Source organism: Homo sapiens, chromosome 19 (genome assembly GCF_000001405.40).
Source record: "Homo sapiens chromosome 19, GRCh38.p14 Primary Assembly".
Classification (NCBI taxonomy): Eukaryota; Metazoa; Chordata; class Mammalia; order Primates; family Hominidae; genus Homo; species Homo sapiens.
The window spans coordinates 33,239,528-33,261,439 of NC_000019.10; the positions used below are offsets into that span (position 1 = coordinate 33,239,528).

At 55.9% G+C, this 21,912-nt stretch overlaps 5 annotated features.

Annotated features, from left to right (window-relative positions):
* Positions 2,090–2,189: a silencer, noted in NCBI's record as "silent region_10493". NCBI's record gives its function as "represses an Ori minimal core promoter by ATAC-STARR-seq in GM12878 lymphoblastoid cells {active_cell/tissue: GM12878}" and the evidence as "EXISTENCE:reporter gene assay evidence [ECO:0000049][PMID:35858748]".
* Positions 9,114–9,615: an enhancer, noted in NCBI's record as "H3K4me1 hESC enhancer chr19:33739547-33740048 (GRCh37/hg19 assembly coordinates)". NCBI's record gives its function as "activates a minimal SCP1, AML or CMV promoter by ChIP-STARR-seq in naive H9 embryonic stem cells {active_cell/tissue: H9 hESC(naive)}" and the evidence as "EXISTENCE:reporter gene assay evidence [ECO:0000049][PMID:30033119]".
* Positions 10,007–10,056: a silencer, noted in NCBI's record as "silent region_10494". NCBI's record gives its function as "represses an Ori minimal core promoter by ATAC-STARR-seq in GM12878 lymphoblastoid cells {active_cell/tissue: GM12878}" and the evidence as "EXISTENCE:reporter gene assay evidence [ECO:0000049][PMID:35858748]".
* Positions 10,820–11,703: an enhancer, noted in NCBI's record as "H3K4me1 hESC enhancer chr19:33741253-33742136 (GRCh37/hg19 assembly coordinates)". NCBI's record gives its function as "activates a minimal SCP1, AML or CMV promoter by ChIP-STARR-seq in naive H9 embryonic stem cells {active_cell/tissue: H9 hESC(naive)}" and the evidence as "EXISTENCE:reporter gene assay evidence [ECO:0000049][PMID:30033119]".
* Positions 11,704–12,586: an enhancer, noted in NCBI's record as "H3K4me1 hESC enhancer chr19:33742137-33743019 (GRCh37/hg19 assembly coordinates)". NCBI's record gives its function as "activates a minimal SCP1, AML or CMV promoter by ChIP-STARR-seq in naive H9 embryonic stem cells {active_cell/tissue: H9 hESC(naive)}" and the evidence as "EXISTENCE:reporter gene assay evidence [ECO:0000049][PMID:30033119]".

A 21,912-nucleotide genomic window follows, 5' to 3' on the forward strand; every position in this document is an offset into this window, starting at 1 on the left:
TCCTTCCCTGCCTCCTGCTCCCCCATACCATCCCTTAACCCAGCCAGAGTCATTCCTCTTTGTAGCATCCCAGTCCTGGCCCAGAGTCTGGCTCCTAAAAGGCACTATAAATATTGGTGGCAAAGTTGAGGCTGTGACACTCAGTTCAATTTTTTTTTTTTTTTTTTAAAGAGACAAGGTCTTACTTACTCTGTCACCCAGGCTGGAGTGCAGTGGTGCAGTCATAGCTCACTGCAGCCTCAAACCTCTGGGCTCTAGCAATCTTCCGGCTCAGCATCCTGAGTAGCTGGGGTTACAGGTGTGAACCACCGTGCCTAGCTAATTAAAAAGAAAAAAAGTTTTTTTGTAGAGACAGGGTCTCACCATGTTGCCCAGGCTGGTCTTGAACTTCTGGCCTCAAGCAACTGTCCCGCCTCAGCCTCCCAAAGTGTTGGGATTACGAGTGTGAACTTCAATTCAATTCAATTGGCCCTTCAATTCTGTGTTCATTCACTGAAGATTCCAATGCCCCTCCCCCATCTAAAGTGGGGCAGACCAGAGGGAGGAGCAGTGGAGGCGGGGTGGACAGGGTCCCAGCGCTGGAGGAGACCCATCTGTGAGCCACCTGGAATCTCATCTGCCTGCCCAAGGCTTCTGCCCCTTCTACAGGAATGGGAGTCCCTTCAGGTGGACATAGGAGTTTCTCCATCTGAAAGTGCCCACCAGGGAAGAACTGCGCCAATCCCGATGGGCACTGGGGCTGAGGGAGGGCACTGGGGATGCAAGGACCCTCTAACTCCACCCATAGAACCCTTTTAGGGGCCCAGGCCTCCAGGCCAGCTCCCTGGCACACACCACTTGTGGAGTATGAACTTCCAGCCCCTAAGCCTCCGGGCTTTGAGCACAGCCTGGGCAGCAGCTGCAGGCACACTGGGGTGCCCACTCACTCTTCATCCTGCCCATGCCTGCCCATCTCTAGCCAAGGTCCATACCATGCACACAGGTGAGTGCTGTGGGGAAGAGCACACAGAGGCTGCAGCTGGCCCCCCGGGCAGGTCCTCAGCCCACTAGGCCCCTAGCCCAACCCTGGCTGAGACCCCAGCCTGCCCTGTGGGTGCCCGGCTTCTGTGACACCTCCGTTGCATAAGCGGGGACTAGAGGTCAGGTGAAGGCTGCAGGGGAGGGGGCTCTCTAGTGGATGAGGCCACCTCCCAGCTGGCAGGGCTGAGTGCATGGCAGTGAGGGACGCCTGGGTCCTGGGAAGGCACAGGAGGTAGAGACCCCGAGGCCCTGCCAGCTTCCCCGCGCAAGCCTGGGAAGCAAAGTGCCCACATCTTCTGTTTCTGTCAGTTCCTGCCAAGTCCCAGTGCCTACAACTGGGAAATGGGGCAAGTCACCTTCTCCTTCCTCTCTTGGTGGCTCTGGAAGGAAAAAGCCAGTGGTGTCACCTGAAGGCAGCCCCTTTAGGCAGGCTGGGTCTGGGGTCTCAGATGCCTGGTGCTGCCCGGTGCTGCTGGCCACGTGTGCCCCCGTGCCTTGGTTGGCAGGGTTCTGGGCAGCCCCGCCTACAGGCCTTTCCCCCCGTTCTTCGGGCTCCCCTGTGTGATGCAGGCGGCCTGGCCCTGGCCCGGAAGGGAGGCCGCTCTTGGCTGATGCTCACATGCCCACTCCTGGGCCTGGCCTGGCTCCTGGGCCCTCTCCCATGCCCATGTCCTCGAGGGCCACCAGGAGACGGGCCCTGGTTGGGGCAGACGTCGCCTTGGGGCTGGTCCCTCCTGGGCTTCTGGCTGGGTTGGTGACCTCCTTCCCCACTGGGTTCTGGCTGGGTGTTCACCTGGGGCTCCTGGCTCTGTCCCAGGTTGGCTTTCACAGCAGCAACCGTGAGGCCTGGCTGGGAGGAGGTGGGTGGAAAGTCCAAGGCTCCTCCTCTAGGCCTCCCTCCCCGGGGGGACTAGCTGATCACGGGGGGTGCTCCTGGGCAGGCACTCCTGGGGGTGAGGGGTGGTTGGGGGGTGCATGTGGTCCGGTAGGGCACTGGAGAAGACCCTCTGCCCAGAGGGCCCCAGGACACCCCTTCCCATAGGCCCACACGGCTCTGTGGCCGTGTGCGTGGGAGGGAGGGAGGGATGAGTGTCACAGCGGGTGTGAGTGCGCCTGTGGGTGAGGCCCGGAGAGCCGGCACGGGGGCGGGGGACCGTGAGAACCAGTCTGTGGGTGGAGACCTAGGGCAGGGGTGCCCTTCCTTTCTGGGATGTCCCAGGCCAAGGAGTTTGGGGGCTTGGGGGCCCACAGTGCAAGAGGAAATCCTGGCCACTAGGTGTCACCCGGAGCCCATGGGACAGAAGCAGGTCCCCCCCACCGCCCCCGGGGAGGGGTCGGAGCCCCTTACCTCCCAGGTATGCCCACTCCCGCAGCTGGGGGGAATCCCTGGTCTGTCACGGTGTCTGAGGGTCCACTCGCAGTGGGGAGCTGGTGGCACGGCGTTGCCCTGTGCAGGAGGCCATATGCTCTATGGAAGCACCCCGTCCCCACCTCCTGCCCATACAGACCCAGACTGAGGACGGAGCCAGTGACAGGTGGGGATGCAGCATCCCTCCCAGCCCACCCAGCCCCTCTGATGCCCGGGTGCCTGCGGCAGGGGCCCCCTCGTGCCAGCCCCTCCAAGGGAGCAGCTTGGACCTATGCCTGCCGTGCTTGCCGGCCTCAGGATGGAGGAGGGAAGGGTCCTCGTTCACAACCACCCCCCATCCCCCTTAGGTCCAGCTCAGCAAATTAGGGTCCCAAAGCCCTGCCCAGACCACTGGGGGCCTTTTGCAGCCTTTCAGAGCTGGTCCCCACCCTCCTGCTGTGCATCCACTCATCCAAAGCACAGCAAGGACCTACTGTGTGCTGGGAGGGCCCTGCCCGGCGGAGCTCACGTGTGATGGGATGTCAGCCGCCAAATATAGAAACCAGAAAATTTGTTTTTATTCATTTATTTATGAGACAGAGTCTTGCTCTGTTGCCCAGGCTGGAGTGCGGTGGCACTATCTGGGCTCACTGCAACCTCCGCCTCCTGGGTTCAAGTGATTCTCCTGCCTCAGCCTCTTGAGTAGCTGGGACTACAGGCATGTGCCACCATGACCTGCTAATTTTTGTAGTTTTAGTAGAGACAGGGTTTCACCATGTTGGTCAGGCTGGTCTCAAACTCTGACCTCAAGTGATCCATCTGCCTCAGCCTCCCAATACAGGCATGAGCCACCGTGCCCGGCTAACACTTATATTTTTTGTACAGGGTTTCACCATACTGGCCAGGATGGTCTCGAACTCCAGACCTCAGGTGATCGCCCGCCTTGGCCTCCCAAAGTGCTGGGATTACAGGTGTGAGCCACTGTGCCTGGCCTAAACCAGAGAATTTGTAATGGAGACAGTGACACACAGGAAAACATCATGGAGGAACTGGAAGGGCCGTGGGTGAGGTGGCAGCTTTGGTGGGGCTTGGGGGAGGGGAGCACCCCCAGGGAGGGACTTGTGAGAAAGTGAGGAAGAGCATCAGTGAGGTGAGCACCCCAGGGAAAGGCATTAGGGCAGCTGGAACAGTCCGTGCTAAGGCCCCAAGGCAGGAACGAGCCAAACCTGTCAGTGAAACACCAGGACCTGTGTGGACTGGGGCGGTGATGCAGGTGGGAGGTGGGAGGAAACAGAGGGTCTTGGACCGTGTTGCCTTCTCCCCAGGCCCTCAGGGACCATCCCTGCCACAGTGGAGCCTTTTGGCTGGCACATGAGGCTGTCCTAGCCGAGGCTGGTCCTGGCTGGTGAGGAGAAGATGCCATGGCTCAGGGGGTCAAACGGGATCCAACCCTCACATCCCTGTAGGCTGAGGAGCAGATACAATCCCAAGAGAGGCTGGGTAAGGTAGCTCTCGCCTGTAATCCCAGCACCTGGGGAAGCCAGTGTGGGAGGATTTCTTGAGTCCAGCCTGGGCAACGTAGCACGACCCTGTCTCAACAGGTGGAAAGAAAAACAAGAAAACCCCCCCAAATACTTAGCCAGGCATGGTGGTGTGTGCCTGTAGTCCCAGTTACTCAGGAGGCTGAGGTGGGAGGATCGCTTGAGCCCAGGAGTTTGAGGCTGCAGTGAGCTGTGATCATACCACTGCACGCTAGTGACAGAGTGAGACCCTGCTTAAAAAAAAAAATCATGGAGGGGCCCTTTCCTCACTGGCTGAGCGGTCCCCAAGGCAGGGCATGGCTGGTCTGTCCCAGCTGCCAGGCTCCTAGACAGGGTCTTCTTGGCTGGGGGGCAAGGTTGGCTGAGGTAGGGCAGAGGGAAGGGCGGCAGAGGTCCTGTCCCAGCACCCCTCTGCTGCTCAGCTCTTTGCAGTATCTGCACACCCCAGAGTAAAACCAAAGACCTTGCCACAGCAGTGACCCTACACGCAGCCCCAGAAGCTCGTTCACCTCATCAACTCTCCCTGTCACCCAGCTGGCACCACCACACTACTCCTTAAGTAGGGACGCTCCTGCCCCAGGGCTTTTGTGCTGGTGGCACCTCTGCCTGGAATGCCCTTTCCCCAAAACCCTCAGAGCTCCTCACCCCTTCACCCCACTGCAGGACTCTGCCAAATGCCACCTTCCCAGGAAGCTTTCTCTGCCCGTTCCATTGAAAAGCACATTCCCCACCTCAGCACTTTCTTTCCTTTCCTTTTCTTTTCTTTTTTCCTCCCTCCCTCTTTCTTTCTCTCTCTTTCTTTCTCTTTCTTTCTTTCTTTCTTTCTTTCTTTCTTTCTTTCTTTCTTTCTTTCTTTCTTTCTTTCTTTCTTTCTTTCTTTCCTCTCTTTCTTTTCTTTCTTTCTTTCTCTCTCCTTCCTTCCTTCCCTCCTTCTCTTTCTTTCTTTTCTCTGTTTCTCTCTTTCTGTCTTTCTCTCTTTCTTTCTTTTTTATTTTTTAGAGAAAGTCTCACTCTCTCATCCAGGCTGGAGTGCAGTGGTGCCATCAGAGCTCACTGCAGTCTCAAACTCCTGGGCTCAAGCAATCTTCCCGCCTCAGCCTCCTGAGTAGCTAGGATCACAGGTGAGCACCACCATGGCTGACTAACATTTCTTAAGATTTTTTTTTCTTTTTTGTAGAGACAGGGTCTCACTATGTTGCCCAGGCTGGACTCGGACTCCTGGCCTCAAAGGATCCTCCCACCTTGGCCTCCAATAGTGCTGGGATTACAGGTGTGAGTCACTGCGCCCGGCCAACCACCTTGGTATTTTCTATCCTCTTTGCCCTGCTTCTCCCCTGACCACCATGTGAACTTCTAGATCTTTTACTTGTTTATTTTTATGGCCCATCTCTCCCACTACCCACACTAGGCTGCAAGCTGAATGGTCTGTTTTGTTTACCAAGGCATCCACACCACCTAGCACAGTGCCCGCAAACACAGCAACAAATACTTGAATGAATGAATGGGATTGAATAGGACAAGGCTCCCCCATCCTTCCTGACCTCATCTGGCCACAGTAGGACCAGGATTTGGGCCTTAGCATCCACCCATCTCCAGCAGAGGCCAAGGCCTAAGCAAGGTGTCGTGTGCCTCAAGACGGCCGAGCCACTGACCACAGCACATCTGCTCCTGCTTGATGGTCCTGGGAACTGCGTTTTACCTGCAGCAAATCACATTCAGTCACCTCAGGCAAACACTGCAAGGCGTGAAACGTGGGCAATGTGCTGTGCCACACATGTTACATGGAGGCACTGGGGACATGTAGGAGGATGAAGGAAACTGCATCGCAGGGAAGAGGTGATGCCTTGGGGAGAGACAGGCCTCAACTGTCCTGCCTCCCCTGGGGGAGGTGTCAGTGGACTACTGAGTGAAGATGTCCTGCTATCAGGGTCCCCTCGTGCCAAGTTTCTAGTGGCAAGGCAGGGCCTCCCCTGGGAGCCTCTCACATACCTGCCCCTTCACTAGAGGGCATGAAATCTACTCCAGCCCAAGGCTGCGCAGCTCTGAGATGGACCCTGTCTCTCTGAATTGCCTCTTCTGATTCTCAAGAGGTATTTAAAGCGGATCTCTACTTGCTTTTTACTTATTTTTGAGAAAAGTTCTCACTCTGTCACCCAGGCTAGAGGGCAGTGGCATGATCACAGCTGGCTGCAGCCTCGAACTCCTGGGCTCAAGCTATCCTCCTGCCTCAGCCTCCCAAAGTGCTGGGATTACAGGTGTAAGCCACCAGGACCAGCCTCCTCTTGCTTTTGGCTTATCCAGTTTCCCTAAATTAATTTTGTGTGCCTTTTAGGAGAAGATGGGGTCAGTAATGCATTAGAGCCCAATTAATCATTCTAAAAAAAGATCTGATTGAGACATACTTATAAAGCGACTCCTAGAGCTGAAAGGTCAAAATCTAGCCTAGATATTGAAAAACATTTTTAGAGAAATGTATTCGAAAAGCTCAATGCTCTTTTTAAGGTGAGAGGTGGGGAGCCTCAAATTTTGGGAGCCCTTGAAGGGACCTGAAGGAACCCCAGGGATTTCTTGGAGCATAATTTGAAAACCACAGATTAAACTCAAGATATCCTCATTGCAGGGAGGAACCACATTCTGAGGCCTATTTTTATGACAATGGCTAGTAGAGCCAGTCTGCAGTACCTGATGTCCCCAGTAGGGGTCACTTCTAGGAGGAAGCCTCTGCCAGGCCCTGGTGTAATCAAGGAGGGCTCCAGGCCCAAGTGGGCCCATGTGCCTGTGTCTGTGCCTCAGTGCCAGTGACTTCAAGCTTGAGTCTGCTCTGAGCCAGGCGCCACTACATGCCCCCCCAGTGGACAGAGCTGCCCTCTGGCCACGCCGCCAGCTGGCTAGGGCTGATCAGAAGCCTTCAGTTTCAGGACAGCTGCCAGGGTGTGGACCATGGGGACTGGTAAGAGTTTCTGGCTAAGTCCTGGCCAAGCCATTCCAAGGGACAGCTGCAGTGTCTCTCCAGTCAGCACCTGGAAGGGGGCCAGCCCAGCCTCAGACCTGGGGCCAAACACATGTGAGTATGTGCAAACGTGCACACACGTGTCCACAGGCACACACAAATACACATGTGCATGAACACATGTTCACACATGTACTCCATGCACAAAGGAACACACACACAAATAACATGCACATGCAAGCACATGCACTAACAAGCGCATGAATGCACACACGTGCAAATGCACAGGGATGTGTGCACAAATCACATATGTGCACACACTCACACAGACAAACACTCCCCACTCTGCCTCCCCAGGCAGGCTCCAGGAATGGAGAAACGCCTTTGCATCCAATGTGTTTGGGGTGAGATCAGCTGGGGGAGGGGCCTCTTCCCTGCCTCCCCAGTCCTGGCAGCTCCTCCCTTCTGGGCCAGGCTTCTCCCCTGTCTGGACTGGTTGGCATATGTGTATGGGAGGAGGAAGGGGCAGCAGGAATGTCCTACCACCCCCAGGAGCTGCTCTGGGCAGAGGCAGGGGATGGCGCCTTTGCTGGACTCCCTGGCTGCATCTTTCTGGGTGGGGGGCACTGGGATGGTTCCTGTATCCCATAGAAGCAAACTGGGCAGAGGGCCGAGGTGGGTGCTGTGGTCACTGTCAGGCATTGAAGGGACCCGGGGTCATCCCTGAAGCAGGTCAGCCTGGGAGAGGCCTTCCAGGCTTGCTGCAGTCGGCACCCCCCCCCACAGGAAGCCAGCCCAGCCATAGCCTCCTGCCCTTTTGAAGATGCTCCCTCCTGGCTTCTGTCCCTGCTGGCAGGCTGGGGTTTCTGAACCCCTCATTCCTCAGTCATCTCGACCCTGTGAGAGCCTCAGAGGCCTCCTGATCCCTGTTGTCCCCTGGCCATCCTGGAGTGTCAGCCCGGGGCTGGCCCTGAGCTCATTTTCAGCATGACAACTGGTCCTCAGCTGACACCCCCATCCCCTCAGCCCAGGAGGCCAGCTGTGGTGGGTTCTGCTGAATCCAGCTTGCTAACCACCAGCCCATGCCCACAGTCCCTGGCAGGGGACACAGTTCTGCCCCCTCCCCCACCAGATCAATACCTCCAAGACTGCTGTCAGCAAATCTTTGACCTCTGACCTGGCCACACACAGTGACCCCTGAACCTGTTGGTCTTTCCACCAACCCTTGCTCTAGTCTCTGGGGTGGGTGAGGGGCTGACACCCTGGCTCTGGCCTGGGCTGTTAGGGGCAGGGAGAGGGTGAGGCCATCAGTCCCCACCAGCCCGGCCTCTTCCCTTCACTCCACACTCAGGGCCACAGTGGTTGGTGTTGTTGGGGGGGGGATGGATGCAGTGGGGGATGTGCCACCTATGCCAAGCAGGCTGTGATGAAGGATTCGGGGATTCCTTCTGGAGCCCAGGGGCCCTGGGAGCTCCAGCCATGAGTGAAGAGCCAGCAGCGAAGAGGATGGCTTCCCATCCTCTCTCCAAGGCCCACAAAGGTGCCCACCCCTTTCTGCTCTGGGCCCTCCGGATCGATCTGGGACCCAGCAGCCTTGCAGCCCTGACCTGAGAATGCAAAGGGGCCTGTACAGATTGCTTCCTGAGCCCTGTTCCTTGCAGCTCAGCTGGGAGGGTCCCTGTCCTGCCCACCCATCCTGCCCCAGATAAGGGTCTAGCCCACTGTCTCGCAGAAACCGTGGTGGACCCCAGTGGTGCTGTTGGGAGCCCCACATCCCGAACCACCCTGGGATACAGCCTCGGGAGTCCTGCGCTCCCTGGCAGACACCACTGACCAGGGACCCTGCCTTCAGGAAATCCGGCCAGGACAACAGGACCTGCCCCTCTGGTGTCCAGGTCAGCTCACCATGTGGCCCTTTCCTGGCCCGCCTTCCCTTGCTCCTGCTCCTAGGAAGAGATGCCTCCACCTCCACTCCCCCATGGGGCATTCTGAAGGCCATGGGTTCCAGCAGTCCTGTGCTGGCACCAACTGGGTCTGCGGTAGGACAAGGGGCAGTGGCTCAGAGACTCCAGCAGTGAGACACTTCCCTGTCCCAGGAGGAGGGGAAGAAGAGGAGCAGGAGGAGGAAGGAGAGGGAGAGGAGGGAGGATGGTCAGGGCCCCCCACTAAAATGGGACAGGCAGGTGAGGGGTGCTTGGAGTGGAGACTATGCTGGAAACTGAGGCTGAGAGAAGGTAGTCAGAGGCAGAGCCACGCATGTGTGCTCCAGTGCGCCTGACTCCAGGGTCCTCGCTTCTCCTGACTGCATCAGACTCGACCTTGACCTCTGGGTATGCTGGGTCAGGGCAGAGTGCTGACGCACTGCAGAGCCCCTCGGGCCCCGCCTCTCTGCTTACGGGGGCCTTCTCAGGAGCCAGGAGGGACCAACCCAGGTAGGGGACTGTTTGGACGAGTCCAGGCCAGGTGGAGGTGTGGGCAGCCGGCCCTGAGGTCACTGGGTGTGTGTCAGGGGTGGGGATTGTCCAGGAGGCCCCTACAGAGCAACACGTCATTCTAAGGCTACATTTCACACTGGCCTCGGGTATGACCTTGGCCGTCCCTTCTCCCCTAAGCAGTCCTCTGGGCTTTCTGGGAGCCTTGGTTTCTTCTCCACTTGAGACCTGGGCCAGTCAGGTGGGAAAAGCCAGCAGCCACGGGGGGCCTGGTGCAGAGGAGGAGGTGGGAGAAGCAGCAGGCGGGGGGCGCCCAAGGAGCCTCTCTGCCTACCTTGGGCTCAGCCTTGCACTTGATGACCCCACCCGGGCCTGTGTGACAACCATGCCACTGACGGGGAACTGAGCCTCGGAGAGGGGAGGTGACTCACAGAGGTGACCCAGGAGATGGAACCGCATTGGGAGCTGGGGCTGGACATTCCAGCCGCTGCCAGGAAAATCCTGCCGGAAGAGTGCACTGTGCGGGTGCCCAGGAGGCTGCGGGTCTGCACCCAGCTCCTCCGACCCGGTGCCCAGGACCCCTGCCTGGCTGGCCAGAGAGGGGAAGTGCGCCCCGGGCGGCCAGCCCGCAGCTGTTGGGCAACATCTGGAGGGAAGGAGGAGGTGAGGAGCAGAGGGCGTGGAGCTGGGTCCTGACGTGTGCCCGCGCTGCCCGGCACCCACGAGGGCTGGGGCCCGGTGCCACCCGGGGGTCTCAGCCTCCTTCTAGTCCCACGAGCCCTAGAGGACTTCCTAGTCCCCCTCGCTGTGCCCTGGGGGGTCTGGGCTCTGTCCTAGGGGGTCTGGGCTGTGCACAACACACCACACCCCCGCCCCAGATGGGGGCTCCTGAAGACCCATGCTCCAACACACAGGCACACACAGACACGCACAGATACACACAGATACACACCACACACAGACACACAGATACACACCTCACACACACATCACACACACACACAGATACACACCACATGCACACACCACACACAGACACACAGATACACACCTCACACACACACCACACACACACATAGATACACACCACACGCACACACCACACACAGACACACAGATACACACCTCACACACACATCTCACACACACACAGATACACACCACATGCACACACCACACACAGACACACAGATACACACCTCACACATACACCACACACACACACATAGATACACACCACACGCACACACCACACACAGAGACACAGATACACACCTCACACATATATCACACAGACACACAGATGCACAACACACACACCAAACACCACACAAACCACACAAATACACACCACACACACACCAGACATAGACACACAGATATGTACCTCACACACATATCACACAGACACACAGATACATAACACACACCACACACACACAGATACACACCACATACATACCACACACAGACACACAACACACACAGACATAGACACACACAGACATAGACACACACACCACACACACAGAGGCACACACAGACATGCATAGACAGATACACATAGACACACATGCATACATCACACACCACACACACAGATACACAGATACACACCACATACATACCATACACAGACACAGACACACATGCATACATCACACACCACACACACAGATACACAGATACACACCACATACATACCATACACAGACGCAGACACACACACCACACACACAGACACAGATACACACACCACACATACCACACACAGAGGCACACACAGACAGATGTAGACAGATACACATAGACATAGACACACACAGACACACAGATACACATCAGACACACACACAGCATACAGACACCAAACACACAAACACACCACACATACACACAACACACACATATAAACACACACTACACTCATAGACACACACCTCACACAGACACCACACAGACACAGATAGACACAGGCCACACACAGAGACTGATACACACCACACACCCACACCCCACACACAGACACCACACTCACACCACACACACAGATACAGACACACACACCACACTCACAGACAGAGATAAACACACACACCACACTCAATAGACACACCAAGCAAACACACACCACACACACAGACACACACAGGCAGACACACACGCCACCCTGACCCTGTCCACCTATACTCACGGACCATGCCTCCTCGTTGGCTGCACAAACCCACATAGACTCGCAGTCAGCCACCCTGCAAGGGTCCTCAGCCATGCGTCCCCTCCCCCACCCCTCAGCCCCGTCAGCCCCCGCTGGCCAAGGCTGGAGCTCCAGGCAGGCTTCCTGGGCTGGGTGCCCCTCCCTTTGCCCTAGGAGATGTGCAGGGCAAACGAGCACTTCCAGGGGATTCCCGGGGGGCAGGGCTGCGGTGGCTTCATGGACGGGGAGCTGGATGCCGGCCCCCTGAAGCCTCCAGCATGGGGCTTGTCACCTCCTTGGGGCTGCCCTGAGGAACCTCCTGCCCCCTCTAGAGCCAAGTCCCCCTCTGCACCCTCTGGGGTCTGGGTGGGCACGAAGGGGGCCCTCGTCTTTGACTCTCCATATTCCCCTCACGCTGGCCTAGGGTGGCCTGCGGGCCCCACCTCACTGATGTCCTGGATTGGAATGAGGGAGTTCAGATGAAGGGGCCCCCACACCGTGTGGGGCCTGGCCCATCGGGGCTGCCCTGGCCTGGGCCAAGACCCACCATCTGCTCCAGGCCATGGAGACGCCTTCCCCAGGCTCTTCGTCCAGGCCAGACCCAGTTCTCTGACTCTGAGCTGGTCAGGGCAGAAGCCCCATCTTGGCCATCAGGGCGCCGGGGACCTCTGACCTGCTGCCTCCGTGTGACATTCCACCACTCCAGCCGGATTCTTCCTCTGCAAAGTGCCCAAGGCGCCATGAAGACGTGAAGATATGAATACTCCTGGGCTACTTGTGATGGGATTGGAGGGGGTGGGGCACGGTCCTGGAAGGAGCCGCTTCTCCCTAGTCCGGTGGGGCTCTTCCCTGAGGCTGCAGAGATTAGGCAGTGGGGTTCTGAAGCCCCAGTGCTGTCCTCCCTCCCGGGAGGTGGCCCAGAACGGCAGGAACAGGCTTGCAAATGCGCAGGTGCTGGGCTCCATCTCCTGAGGCATTTTTAGGGTGGATGCCCTGCCCTCCTGGGCAGAGCAGGGCAGTCGCTGCCTAGGGGCGTCCCTGCTCACCAAGGTCACCACTGTCATTCACCATCACTCTTTTTTAATTATTATTATTATTTTAGACAGAGTCTCGCTCTGTCACCCAGGCTGGAGTGCAGTGGCACGATCTCGGCTCACTGCAACCTCCCCTCCCAGGTTCAAGCAATTCTCCTGCCTCAGCCTCCTGAGTAGCTTGGGACTACAGGCGCCTGCCACCATGCCCAGCTAAGTTTTGTATTTTAGTAGAGACGGAGTTTCGCCATGTTGGCCAGGCTGGTCTTGAACTCCTGACCTCAGGTGATCTACCTACCTCGGCCTCCCAAAGTGCTGGGATTACAGGCGTGAGCCACCGCACCTGGCCAACTCTTTGTTAATTATTATTATTACTTTTTAGAGATGGGAGTCTCACTCTGTCACAGCCTGGAGAGCAGTGGTGCCACCACAGCTCACTGCAGACTCAAACTCCTGGGCTCAAGTGCCTCCCCAGTAGCTGGGGTTACAGGCACGTGCCACCATGTCCCCAGCTAATTTTTTATTTTTTGTAGAGATGGGGTCTTGCTATGTTGCCCAGGTTGGTCTCGAACTCCTGGCCTCCAGTGATCCTCCCACCTCGGCCTCCCAAGGCAGTGGGATTACAGGCATGAGCCACCACACCTGGCCTAGTGGCCAGCACTCCTGACTGGGCATCACTGCCCATTCAGACTCACAACTGCCAGTGCCAATCATTGCCTACTGGGCTTTACTGGCAGAAGAAGGTTGGCATTGGCAGTGGTAGTGGCCACTAGGTCTTTAGAGTAATGACCTGGATAAAGACAGCAAAGGCGCCCAGATTCCTGAGAGGCTTCCCCTGCCCAGCACAGGGTCTAGGGGAGGATGCAGCCTTGGCAGGTATTGAGGGTGAGGGCACAGTGCCCATAGTTGGTTCCTTTTGAACCCTGGCCCTCCTTCTGGTCAGCTGCAGGCCACAGTCCCCAACCCTTGGCTCTGATCCTTCTAGAGGACAGTGGGCTGGGCTGTCTGGGCAGGAGTCACACTCATGGCCAGGATGGGTTGAAAATGGGAAGTGGCCCCCAGTGCCTGGTGGGTGCCAGCCATTCTTCTTGGCTGTGGGGGCGGCTGCCTCTGGGAAGGGCCTTAGTCACCCAGCAGCGGCTTCCGGGAACCCGGTGCCCAGTCTCTGGGAAACATCACAGGTTTTTCCAGCGGGACCCCCCCACCCTGCCCTGGGGTGGACCCCAAGGACCACGGTGCAGACACCTGCTGGGAACGGGCCAGGCTGGCTCTCCAGGGTCCCTGCTGCCCCCAGGCTGACTGCCAAGCTACCCACCGCCTCTGCCTACCCTTCGTGTGGGGCACAGAGCTTTGACCTGCACTTGCCTGGCTCCAGAGCCCTTCTTGGCTCCCAAGAACCCAGGATAAGGCCTGACACTCGGGGTTTTTGCCACCTCCATGCTGCCGACTTCTGTCACCACCCCCCTCCGTTCCTGGCCCCTGCCTCAGCCAAGCGGTCCTGGATATTCCTCCCTCTGTCCTACCCCCGAGACATCAACAGAGTCAGCCCCACCCACCCCTCCCTAGCCTGCAGGTCCCATGGCTGTCCTGTCTCTCTAGGGTGCCCCAAACATCTGGGTGAGGGGCGGCCATCCCACCAGCGCATAGCACACTCCCTGGAAGACTGGAAGATTGTAGATCTCCTGTCTAGTCCTGTTCATCCACTGAGAACTGGGGGCTCACTGAAGCCCAGGCTGGCAGGAGTCCCTCCCCGCAGCTCTGAAGCCCGCCATCCCTCTTCAGGCACTCCCTGGCCGCTGCGCCTCCCTGTGGGGTGGGTAGGGGGCTGGCCCTGGAGGCCGATGACCTGACTTTGATTCCCAGCTCGTCTGGTCCCAGCAGCCCTGAGAGCCCGCCTGTGTCCCCCTTTCATTGTCTGCACCTAATGGGGATCGTGTTTGTGCACACACCATACAGCAGTGACATCGGTTCGTATGCAAGGGGCCTGGAACAGTGTTGGGTAGATAGCAGGTGCTCCGTCTGTGCTAGCTACTGTCATGGCTACTATTGCAGTCTAGCCCAATGCTATCTTTGTGTTCTCACTCCTCCCTGGCCAGCAGCGGTGGCTGGGAGAGGGGTCCAGGAGAGCCAGCTTCCCCATGTGGGAAGAGGAATCAGGCCGGGGCTGGGCACCCTCCGTGAGAGGCACTTCTAGCCAAGGGTGCCATGCAGCCTGTGGCCCTGTCCCCTCTCCCCACGCGGCCTTCTCACCTGGATACATCTACAGCCAGAAGCACGTGTGTCTGACTCCAGAGCCCCACTCTCCCTTGCACAAGGTCTCCACCTCTGTTCCCTGACCTCGGCCCCCACGAGAACCCTGCAGACCCCCACTGTGGAGGATCTGCGCAGCGAGCCTGGTAAAGGGAGACTCAGGAGCCCAAGCTCCCACAGGCAGCGGGGTGGGGGCCGTGGGGAGCAGCAGGAGCCGTTGGTGTGAGGGAGTGGCCAGGCCCCAAAACAGTTAGTCTGTGCTGGTAGAGAGAGGCTGGGCTCAGGGTTGGGCCGAGCCAAATTCTGCAGGTCACGTGCAGCTCAGCCCAGCCCCTTCTTCTGCAGTCGCAATGCTGAAGACAGGGCACCAAGGCTCAGCCCAGTCAGTACCCACAGTCCTTGGTGTGAGGACAAGGCCAGACCAGGGCCTGGAGTCCTCCCCATTCCTAGCTTGGGGCTGTGGCTCCCAGCTCCCCAGCACAGGGGACTCCTTCTCTAACCCCATAAGGGGATGTAGATAGCAGCCCCTTTATGCTGACTGCTCACACCTCCCCAGACACCGCAGGATGCAGCCACCACGCCAAACAGGTGTTGAGTGCTCCATTTCACAGATGGGGAAACTGAGGCCCTAAGAGGGAAAGGGCAGAGGCATGGGGGCCAGGCTCTGGGTTTCCATCCCTGTCATTGCCCCCAGACTCTGCTGAATGTCCCCACCCTCAAACACAGCTTGCTGGGCTGGAGAAGACCTTGACTGCCCGAGGTCGCAGGTCTGTCCACTGCAGCCCCAGCCCTCAGCCCTGCTGGGGCAACTGCTAGAAGCCAGCACGTCCTGAAAGCGTGAGTTCGTTATTCCAGCTCATCTTCCCAGGACCTCTGCAAGGCAAGCCTGTGTTGCAGAAGAGGAAGGCAAGGCCCAGGGAGAAGAGGTGACCTGCCCAGGGTCCATGGCCAGGAACGAGTGGTATTGAGACTTGAACTTGGGTCTATCTGAGCCCAGGATCAAAGTGTGAGGAGAGTGAGGCCCAGCCATCCAAGGTCTGGTGCAGGGAGAAGCGGGAAAATGAGGCCAGGGAGCTCTGTGGGGAGGGGTCACCAGAGTGGGGCAGGGCTTGGCATCAGGGGCACCGGAGGCTGGCGTTAGCTCTGGTATCTATTGCAGCTTTTTTTGGTTACAGGGTCTCACTTTGTCACCCAGGCTGGAGTGCAGTGCTACAATCACAGTTCACTGCAGCCTCAACCTCCTGGGCTCAAACGAGCCTCCTGCCTCAGCCTCCCAAGTAGCTGGGACTACAGGTGTGCACCCTATATCCAGCTACCATTTCATTTTACTTTTTTTTTTTAGAGACAGTGTCTTGCTGTGTTGCCTAGGCTGGTTTTGAACTCCTGGCCTCAAGTGATTCTCCCACCCTGGCCTCCCAAAGCACTGCAATTATAAGCATGAGCCTCTACATCTGGCCAGTTTAGCTTTTAATAAAGGCCACAAGAGACATAAATCAGCGTGATGAGTGAGTGAGTGACTGTAAGGGTGAAGACTGTAGGTAAGGAGGTCAGGAAAAGGATCCCTGGTGGGGGTGGGGTGGGGTGATACTTCAGCGAAGATGTAAAGGACAAGAAGGAGCTGACCAAGAGTCTAGAAGGGGAAGAGTGTACCAGGCAGAGGGAGCCACCAGTGCCAAGGCCCTGTGGCGGGAATGGGTTTGGTGTATTTCAGGAACAGACAGGGACCAGATGATGTGGTTCTCAGATGCAGCCACCCCCACCATGCAGATGACCTGAATTTTGCCCCGGATCTGAGTGGGGTTGGGTTCTGTCTAGCTCCGGTCAACGGAGGATGCCCTGGATCTTGAAGTGTGTGGAGGGTTCCTGCTGCCACGGACCAATAGATGGAGGCCTGTGACTTTTCCTGGGAGGACGGGCCGGGGGAATACAGGCACTGATGGCAGCTTGACACGACCGTAGCAGATGGCTCACTCATTCCCCGCTGTGCCCCAGGCCGACCCACAGGGCCTTCTGACCCTCTGTGTGAGGCATGGAGGGTGGTCCTGGGGCAGTGGGAGGCACGCCAGCTCTCAGGACCCATTGCAGCCTGCCCTGACTGGATGCAGCCAAGCCTGTTAACAGCCTCTGAGGACTGAGAAATCCACCCTTTCTGGCACTCTCCCCAGGGAAAGTGAGCCATGGGAGGCTTGGGTGGAAAGCACTGACGAGTTTCCACTGAGCCAGGGGTGGGTGTTTCAGAGGGGAAGGGAATATAGAGGCCCAGAGGAAAACAATCTGAGCTGGCATAGAGGAGAGAAGTTGCAGTGGGTGAGGAGGCCGGGGAAGCCCTGGAAAGAAGCCCTGAGGGCAGGCGACGGCCCAGGCAGAGATGCAGGGACAGCGTGGCTGTGTCAAGCCAGAGCGGGTCCAAGGCTAAAGGGGTCCCTCGCAGCCTCTGACACACTCTCACCACCTTGCCGGGAGCAGACACAGGGCTGGCTGGCTGGGACTCTCTTGCTACTTTATCTCATTCTTCTCAGGAACGTAGCTCAGAGTCTGACCTTGGCCTTCAGCACTTTCCTATCTGAAGTGTCCATCCAAAGCGAAGCCATCCTCCAAAAGCCCAGATGAACACACCTTGACATCTGTCTCACCACCCATGACTTTTTGTAAAGACCCCAGTCTTCTCACTGCACACTCTGCTTCAAGCACATGTCTTTGTATCCCAATTCTTTTTTTTTTTTTTTAAACATGTTTTTGTAGAGGCAGGGTCTCCCTATGTTGCCCAGGTTGGTCTCGAACTCCTGACCTCAAGTTATCCTCCCATCTCAGCTTTCCAACTTGCTGGGATTATAGGCATGAGCCACCTTGCCCAGCCTCAATTCTTTATTTCTGTATAAACTGTGTAGTTTAGGTACAGATAGTATTCTTTTTGGTTTTTTCCAAAAGAAAGCATCTGCAAGCATCGCAAAGGATTCTTTTTTTTTTTTTTTTTTTTTTTGAGACGAAGTCTCGCTCTGTCGCCCAGGCTGGAGTGCAACGGTGTGATCTTGGCTCACTGCAACCTCCATCCCCCAGGTTCAAGAGATTCTCCTGCCTCAGCCTCCCCAGTAACTGGGATTACAGGCGTCTACCACCACGCCCAGCTAATTTTTGTATTTTTAGTAGAGACAAGGTTTCACCATGTTGGTCAGGCTGGTCTGGAACTCCTGACCTCAGGTGATCCACCTGCCTTGGCCTTTCAAAGTGCTGGGATTATAGGCGTGAGCCACAGTGCCTGGCTACATAGGATTCTTGGTGGAAATTTTTCCTTTGCACCTAGAAGGTGTTACCCACTAGTCTTCTGACCAGTTGCTGAGCTGACATGTCTATTGTGAGGCAAATTCCTTTGTAGTATGCATTCCTTTGTAGTATGCATTTCCTCCTGGTACTTTCAAGGTAGTATTTTTGTCTTTAATGCTTTTTAAAAATTACTTATTTATTTATTTGTTTGCTTATTTATGTATTGACAAGGTCTTGCTCTGTCACCCAGGCTGGAGTGCAGTGGCACAATCATAGCTCACTGCAGCCTCCACCTCCTGGGCTCAAGAGATCCTCCCACCTCAGCCTCCAAAGTAGCTGGGACAACAGGTGTGCGCCACCACGCCTGGCTAATTGTCAGTGGTCTTTAGTTTTACTGTGGTGTGTTTGTTCTTAATTTATCCTTCTTAGGACTCAGTGTGCATCTTCAATGTGAGGACTTCATTCCCTAGTTCTGGAAATTTCTCAACTATTAATTAGGTTTTGAGGTTTTCCAGTTTTCACCTTCTGCAATTCCTATTATATGTGTGTTAGCCCTTCTTGGCCCTTCTCATTCATATCTCCAAGAATCTTAGACTCTCATATATTCCTTGTTTTCATATCTGTGTGCTGCATGTCATGAAATTTCCTCAGATATGCTTTATATTTTTCTTATTCCCCTTTGAGCTGCAACTAATTTGCTATATTCGCTGAGCTTCTATATTATACTGCAATGAGTATTTTTTGAAGGACTCTTTGATTTCTTTTGAAATCTACTTGTTATTTTAAAATAATATTTTTATTATGTCTTCCACTCTCTTTTCTATCTTAATTATTTTAAGTATACTTATTATTATGTAAGTATACTTATTATGTAAGTATACTTATTATTATGTAGTCTTTTACAAATTGTTCTAATATCTCTAGATCTAAGATCTCCCACTGACATAGTTGCTTGCTTTTTTGCGTCATTCATGATTACTTTTTATTGTGAGCTCATCTTCATCGGGGTTAATTTTCCTGTGGATCTGTGTCTGGGCTGTGAAAGTGTCCATGCAAAGTAGCTTGGAAGTAAGTTTCTTTCATGGCTGTATATACATTTTTCTTTTTTTTTGAGATGGAGTCTCGCTCTGTCCCCCAGGGTGGAGTGCAGTGGTGCCATCTCTGCTCACTGCAACCTCCACCTCCCGTGTTCAAGCGATTCTTCTGCCTCAGCCTCCCAAGTAGCTGGGACCACAGGTGTGTGCCACCACGCACGGCTAATTTTTGTATTTTTAGTAGAGACAGGGTTTCACCACGTTGACCAGGCTGGCCTTGAACTCCTGACCTCATGATCTGCCTACCACGGCCTCCTAAAGTGCTGGGATTATGGGTGTGAGCTACTACACCCAGCCATGGCTGTATATACATTTTTATGTTAATTTCTGGATTTGGAGTTTTAGAACTATTGGACTGTGTACATTTGAATCCACACTTAACTTTTTCCTGCCATTGCCTCAGGAGGATAGAAAGCTTCACTAGCACTTCTTTTTTTTAATTTTTTATTATTTTTTTTTGAGATTGAGTGTTGCTCTGTTGTCCAGGCTGGAGTGCAGTGATGTGATCTTGGCTCATGGCAACCTCCACCTCCCAAGCTCAAGCAAGATCCTTCCACCTCTGTCTCCTGAGTAGCTGGGACTACAGGTATGTGCCACCACTCCCAGCTAATTTTTGTATTTTTTGTAGAGATGGGGTTTTGCCATGTTGCCCAGGCTGGTCTTGAACTCCTGACCTCAAATGATCCACCTGCCTCAGCCTCCCAGAGTGCTGGGATTACAGGCATGAGCCACTACGTTGGCCTTGCTACTACTTTTTTCGGATCAGCTTTACACATCCCTTTTGTACAGAGCAGCCCTTCCAGCCCTGCAGTTTATTGAAGGGGGTCGGTTCCAGCTCGCCACCTCGGGGAGTCCAGGACTCATATCCTGGCCCTGTGTTCTGCCCTGATTCTGAAGTTTTTCCCGTTCTTTCTAGCCTAAGCCCCCAACCCTGGGCCTTGTGGCTCCAAGGTGCCTCACTTACGTTCCATGATACAGCTCCTGGATCTGCTCTTGAATAAAACCTCCCAGTTTCACCATCTCCCTTCCGGTCACAAGGGTGCTCTTTCCGGCTCCAGGCTCTGCAAGGCAGTTGTGCTCAGAGCCCCAGAGCAGGCCCTACAGCACAGATCCTGCAGACGGGCACAGCCTCCACCTCCCAAGAACTCCAGGCTCTGACTCATTAGTCAACTTAGTCCATAGCTTTCTAGCAAAAAAAAAAATTGTGACGCAGGCCAACTGAGACCTAGAACTTTTTAGTCATGGAAGCCAGGGTCTTTTGGTGCACCTGGATCACTGATTCTTGACCTAGGATAGTCTTGTACTCTCAGGAGACATTTGACATGTCTGCAGACATTTCTTTTAAGAGAAGGGGTCTCACTATGTCACCCACGCTGGAGTGCAGTGGTATGATCCTAGCTCACTGCAGCCTGAACCTCCTGGGCTTAAGCGATCCTCCTGCCTCAGCCTCTTGAGTAGCTGGAACTCCAGGTGTGCCCCGCCATACCTGGCTAATACTTATATTTTTTGAAGAGAGAGGGGTCTTGCTATGTTGCCCAGGCTGGTCTCGAACTCCTGGGCTCAAGAGATCCTCCCGTCTCTGCCTCCCAAAGTGCTAAGATTACAAGCATGAACCACCGTGCCCTGGAGACATTTTTGATCATTGCAATTGGTGGTGGTGATGGGAAAATTGTTCCTGGTGTCTAGTGGATATAGGCCAGAGATGCAGCTAAATATCTTATAATGCACGGAATGGCCCTAACAACACAGAAGTATCCAACCCCAAACACCCACAGTGAGTCCTGAATCCCGAGGGGGTGAGCCCTCTGTCCGCTCTGGGTAGAGGGATAGAGAAGCTGGCTAAGGCCCTATCCCAGGGTATTCCCTGTGGGGAAGCTTGGAGCTGAGGCTGGGACTGGAGGAAGGATGTCTTTCATCAGATCTGGAGGACGCCAGATATCCTGACTGCTCCCGGCTGGCACAGGGAGCCTCATCTGAGCCCACGAGCCAGGGTGCATCCCACATCCCACCCGATCTGCCCACGAGGCCTCCCACCCGGCCCCTCCCTGGTGCAGCCCTGCACACACGCGCCAGCCACACGCACGCCTGTGTGATGTGGTGAGCAGGCCCCGTATGATGTGGGGAACGGGCGTGTGGTCGTTGGAGCAGGCCAGGCCCTCCTGGGGGCGGTGAGGACATATCTCTGGTGCCATCTTTCCTGTTCTGATAAATAACTGATCTGTGGTTGAGGCAAGAAGGTCACCTCTGCCCAGGGAAGCTCAGGAACAAACCACTTGTGACCGGTGGGAAGAGCCCGGGGGGGCAGCGGGAAGTCTGTCTTCCCTGGCCACCGGGCTGCTGGGGGCAGATTTCAGAAAAGGGAAGTGCTGAGCTGGGGCAGTGCTTCCTGTGGTCGCGGCAGGCAGGGCATCAGGGCGGGCACGGCAAATCAGAGGGGTGACTGCCCTAGCTTGGAGGGGCAAGGAGCTGGGGTCCCTGGCTGGGCCCCATGTGCTGCCAGCCTTCATGCATTGGGCTGAAGGCCTGGGGGGGATGGAGGAACATACTAGAACACCAACAGCACTGAAGCTCCCCTGCTTGGGAGTGCCCCTGGGCTCCTCTCTGCACTCAGAGTGAAGTCCCCCTGGGCTTCGTGATTTGCTCCTCAGCCTCTGCTTCTCTGGCACCTGCTCGTCAAGTTCCCTCTGCATAGGGCCCCCTTCTCCCACCAGCTCTGAGCACTGGGGTCGGTGGAGGGGGCACCCCCTGCCCCTTCCCCTCTGCTAAGCCCGGAGCCCCTGGCTTGGCTGCT